The sequence below is a fragment of the Homo sapiens genome, chromosome 4 (genome assembly GCF_000001405.40).
Source record: "Homo sapiens chromosome 4, GRCh38.p14 Primary Assembly".
NCBI classification, from domain to species: Eukaryota; Metazoa; Chordata; class Mammalia; order Primates; family Hominidae; genus Homo; species Homo sapiens.
In genome coordinates this window covers 32848753-32854883 of record NC_000004.12, presented here as the reverse complement: position 1 = coordinate 32854883, position 6131 = coordinate 32848753, and positions in this window count along the sequence as shown.

Here is a 6131-nt window from a genome sequence, read left to right as displayed (position 1 = left end):
TAATTTCTAAAATGCAGAAAAATTATCAGCATGCTACAGGAGACTCCTGAACACCCTTTATCCAGATTAACCAGCTATCTACATGTTTTCTCACTATGTGTTTATATTCTCTCTCTCTCTTGCTCTATATAATTATTTTTTCTGAACTATTTGAGACTACATTGGAGATATCATGGTCCTTTGCACCTAAACATTTCAATTTGCATTTCCCAAGAAGGACATTCTCTGACATAACCATATTAGAAAGATTAAAGTCAGAAAATTTAACATTGATACAATAATATTATCTAATTCATTGTCCATATTAAAAACCCATTAATCATTTTAATAATGTCTTCCTTTATATTTTATTACAAATTCCAGCTCAGGATCACATATCACATTTCTTTATTTTATATATTTAACATATTTTATTCTAAAATTATGAAGTCTTTCTTCTGTTTTTTCATCTTGACATTTTCAAGTTCTATCAGTTCTATCAGTTTTGGCTTTATATATTTTAACCTCTATTATTAAGTACATGTATATTATTAGTAACTCCCTCCTGAACTATACATGTTTATTGCTATTAAATGTATCTATCTGTATATATGCTCTCTGCCTTGAAATGTATTTATATGGTTATTATTTTAGCCATCTTGGCTGGTTTTATGATTAATCCTTTAATGTTTACCTTATTTTACTTTTATACTACTATGTCATTATGTTTAGAATTAATCTCTTGTAAGTAGCATCTAATTATGTCTTAATTTTTATTGACAATGCCTTTTTTTACATTGGAGTTTTTACTTCATTTACATTTTAAAGTACTATTTGCTTTGATTTCATTTACATTTAGCATACTATTTGCTATGGTTAGTATTATGTCTACCATTTTGCCATGTCATCATCTGTTTTGTTTTACTCTACTCTTCCTTTATTTCCTTGATCTGTTTTTGTCAATCAAATATGCTTAGTATTTTATTTTTATTTATTAATTAGCTATATTTTATGCATTAGTATTTAGTCATTACTTTAAGATTATAATATGTATGTTTTTCCAATCCTATTCTTATTAGAGTTAATATTGTACTAATATTAACTGTGATTAATTATAATTGAGTAAAAATATATACATGATAACATATTTATTATTTCCTATAAATTCATAAATTCAAATTACATAACCTTGTGTCATTTCCATTTATCTTGAAAAAAGAAAGTTCTTATCATTTCTCACAGTGTAGGGCATAGATCTGCTAGTGATTGATTCTATCGGTGTATATTTATCCAAAATTGTAATATTGGTCTTCACATCTGAAGAGTATTTTTCTGAATATACAATTCTGGGATGACAGTTTTATTGTTTTTTTCTTTTAGTCCATTGAAGGTGTTGTTCTTTGTCTTTTGGTTCTCACTGATTCCAATAATCAGCCAGATAATTTATATCATTGTTCCCTCATCTCTTTTTTCTGAATACTTTAAAATCTTTTTATATTTGGCTTTTAGCAGAGTGATTAGTAATTACTTAGGTTTGATTTACTTTACAAATATCTTGCTTGGGATTCATTTGGAGATATACGCGTTTCTCAAAATATGTGGCAACTTCTGTCCAACTTTTTAGTAAATACTTAAACACCACCTTTATTGTAGCATTTGATATCTTTTCAGAGCACATTGATGCTCAATTTTTTATTTCAATTTTTATTATATTCATTCCTCATATTAGTTCTAGAATTTCCATTGTTTTAAATATAGTATTTATTTCATTGTTGAGATTCTGTATCACTTCTTTTACAATGACCATAGTTTTCTTTTAACATGAACAAATTTACAAATGCTACTTAAAAGCGATTGTCTGCTAATTCTGTCATCTTGGTCATCATGGAGTCCATTTCCCTTGACTTTTTTTTTTTAATAATGGTTGATGTTTTTTGTCTGGTAGTATTTTATTGCATACTATACATTCCAGGTGATTTATTTTAAAGTTTCTGGGTTTCACTGTTTTTTTTCTGAAGACTCTTAATTTTTTATTGTTCTAACAGGAAGTAATTTAAGTGTACTCAAACTCTGAATTCAATTACCGCTGCAGAGGTTAACACATGTGACAGCCCCATTCATTCAGGCTTTCAGCTATTCCTTCTGGCTAGGAATATTGGAGTCTCCTCAAAGCCTCAAAGCATGCACACTTTAGGGATGGAGTTTTTATGCAGTTTTAAGGGTTCACCTTTCTTTAAGCTTCTACTTTTCGGATTTTCCCATTCACTTTAGATACTCTATTAGTCTCATATTCCATTCGTTGACTGTAATCTAATAAGATTGTATATGTCGCTCTGCTTCAGTTGTAGCCACCCTACACAAGACGGACTAGGAAGTGCCTACTCCATTAAGAAGCCATTTAAGTTCAAGTCTTACAGAGCTCAATTATTTTTCAAGAATCAAATCTTGTATAGTTCTTTTACTGCTTTTTTTCTTCAATAAATTCTTTTTTTTACTTTTCTTATCTAAAATGTATAACCGCCACAGGCAAAATAATTTCTTATAAAGCTACTTCATCATTACCAGTAATGTGAACTCAGTGACATTTTGAATTAGGTTCATAGGAAAGGAGGAGCAGTGTAATGGCCAAATAGAAGGCTTCATTGATTGCCCCGTACTTCAAAGACACCAATTTAACAACTCTCTACAAACACGCACAAAAAACAGCTCAACAAATCAAAAATCATATGAGCACTCACAGTACATGGTTTTAACTACATATCACTGAAAGAACCGTTGAAGATGGTAAAAAAGATTCTTGAATCACCAAGGCCACCCCTCTCCAATCCCCCAGCAATGGCCACATGGCACAGAGAGAGAATTTGAACTCTTGGGAGAGAGTGAGTGCAGCAATTGTGAGGCACTGCATTAATCTCAGTGCTTCCCCACCATAGTAGAAAGCAAAACTGGGCTGAACTCAGCTCCTGTGGAAGGAGTATTTAAACCAGCCCTACCTAGAGGGGAATCATTCATCCCAGGATTTGAGACATGATTTCTGGTAAGTTCCACCAGCACAGGCTAAAGGGCTCTGGGGCTCACAATTAACTTGAAAGGCAATCTAGGATACAAGAACTGCAACTGCTAGCTGAGTCCAAAGGATGAATTAAGCTCAGAGCCAGTGAACTTGGGGGCATGCAACCTACTGACACCAGCCAGGGTGGCTAAGGGAGTGTTTGTGCCACCCCTCCCCAAATCCTAGGCTGCACAGTTCCTGGCTTCAAAAACGACAACTTCCTTCCACTTAAGGAGAAGAGAAGGAAGAGTGAGAAGACTTTGTCTTGTATCTTCAATACCAGCTCAGCCATAGTAGAATAGGGCATCAGTCAGAAGGCCCGTTTCCAGGCCCTAGCTCTCAGATGACTTTTCTAGACACACCCTGAGCAAGAAGGAAACCTACTGGCTTGAAGAGAAGGACCCAGTCCTGGCAAGATCCATCACCTGCTAACTGAAGAGCTCTTGGGCCCTAAATAACCAGCAGTGATACCCAGATAGTATGCCATGGCCTTGGTTGATGATATTGTTTGGCCCTGTGTCACCACCCAAATTTCATCTCAAATTGCAATCCCCATGTGTTGATGAACGGACCTGGTGTGAGGTGATTGGATCATGGGGGCGGTTCCCCTCATGCTGTTATCATGTTGGTGAGTGAGTTCTCACAACTACTGATGGTTTTAAAATGTGGCACTTCCTCATGCATGCTCTCTTTTGCTGTCTTGTGAAAAAGTTGTTTGCTTCCCTTTTGCCACGATTATAAGTTTTCTGAGTCTTCCCCATTCATGCAGAACTGAACTGTGAGTCAATTAAACCTCTTTTGTTTATAAATTACTCAGTCTCAGGTAGTATCTTTATAGCAGTGTGAAAATGGATTAATATAGGAGAGACTCTGACACTTGCTGGCTTCAGGTGAGACTTAGCACGTTCCCAGGTGTGGTGGTGACAGATAGAGACTCCTTTAACTTGAGAAAAATGGAGAGAAAAAGAAAGGGGACTTTGTCTTATACCTTAGGTATCAGCTCAGCCACAGGGGGTAGAGCCCAAAATGGGCTTTTGGGGCCCCCATTTCCAGGCATTGGCTCTTGGATGGCATTTCTGAACCTGCCCTGGACCAGAAGGGAGTCCACTGCCCTGATGGGTGAGTCCCAGGTTAGGCAGCATTCACCACGATCTGACTGAAGAGCCCTTGGGCCTTTAAGTGAACCCTGGTGGGAGCCTGGAAGTACTCCCCATGGGCATGTAGCTGTGGTGGCCATGGGGAGAAGCTCCTCTGACTGTGGAAAGGGGAGGGAAGAGTACAAAGAACTGCATCTCATGGTTTGAGTGCCAGCTCAGCCATCCTACAATAGAACACCAGTAGGCTTCTCAGGTTTTTTACTCCAATTTTTGGCTCCTGGATGGCACGTCTGGACCTAATTGGGGCTTGCGGACACTTGCTGTGCTGAAGGAAAGAACAACGGCCTGACTGGCTTGTCTACCTGCTGATTGTAGAGCCCCAGAGGCTTGAGTGCAGATAGGCATTATCCAGGTAGTGGTTACAGCAGGCCTTGAGTGAGATCTAGTGCTGTGCTGGCTTCAGATCTGACCCAGTGTAGTTCAAGTGATGGTGGCCACAGGGGTGCTGCATCATTCCACCTCTGGCTTCACGCAGCTCAGAACAGAGAGAAAAACTCCATTTGTTTCAGAGAAAGTTAGGAAAGAGAACAAGAGTCTCTGCCTGGTAATTAAGAGAATTGTTCTGGATCCTATCCAAGGATATCAAGGCCGTACCTCTACCAGTCTACAAGAACCAAAATGTTACTGGGCTTGGGGTGTCCTCTAATGCATATATGGCTTAGATCACAACACCTAAGTCCTTTTAAATACCTAGAAAACCTTCCTGAGAAAGACGGGTACAAAGAAGCACAGACTACAAAAACTCTTCAATGCCCAGACACAGAGAAATATCCTTAAGCATCGAGACAATCCAGGAAAACATAACCTCATAAAATAATAAGGCACCGGAAACCAATCCTGGAGAAACAAAGATATGTCACCTTTCAGACAGAGAATTCAAAATAGCTGTTTTAAGGAAACTCAAAGAAATTCAAAATATTACAGAGAAGGAATTCAGGATTCTGTCAGACAAATTTAACAAAGTGATTGAAATAATTTCAAAGAAACAAGCATAAATTCAAGAGTTGAAAAATGCAATTGGCATATTGAAGAATGCATTGTCTTTTAATAGCAGAAATGATTAAGCAGAAGAAAGAATTAGTGAGCTTGAAGATAGGTTACTTAACAATACACAGTCAGAGGAGACAAAAAAAAAAGAATGAAAAAGAATGAAGCATGCCTAGATCTAGAAAATAAAAAGGTCAAATATAAGACTTACTGGTTTTAAAGAGGAAGTAGAAAACAGATATGGATAGAAAGTTTATTCAAAGGGATAATAACACAGAGTTTCCCAAACCTAGAGAAAGATATCAACATCCAAGTAAAAGAAGATTATAGAACACCAATCAGATTTAACCCAAAGAAGACTACTTCAAGGCATTTAATAATCCAACTCCCAAAGGCCAAGAGTAAAGACAAGATCCTAAAAGTGATAAGAAAAAAGAAACACTTAACATATTGACAATGGAGATTCAATATGTCTGGCAGCAGACTTTTCAGTGGAAACCTTATAAGCCGGGGAGAGTGGCATGATATATCTAAAGTGTTGAAGAAAAAAAAAGTGGCACCATAGAATAATATATCTGGTGAAAATATTCTTCAAGCATGAAGGAGAAATAGACTTCCTCAGACAAACAAAACTTGAGGGATTTAATCAAAACAGTTTCTGCCCTACAAGAAATGCTAAAGGGAGTTCTTGACTCAGAAAGTTCACTCAGAAATAAAAGGGTGTTAATGAGCAATAAGAAATCACCTGAAGGTAGAAAATTTACTGGTAATATTAAGTACACAGAAAAACACAGAGTAGTATAACATTGTGACTGTGTTGTATAAACTACGTCTTACCTTAAGTAAAAAAACTAAATGATGAACCAATAAAAAATAATAACTACAATAACTTTTCAAGACAAAGTACAAGAAGATATAAATAGAAATAGCAAAAGGTTAAAAAGTGGAGGGACAAA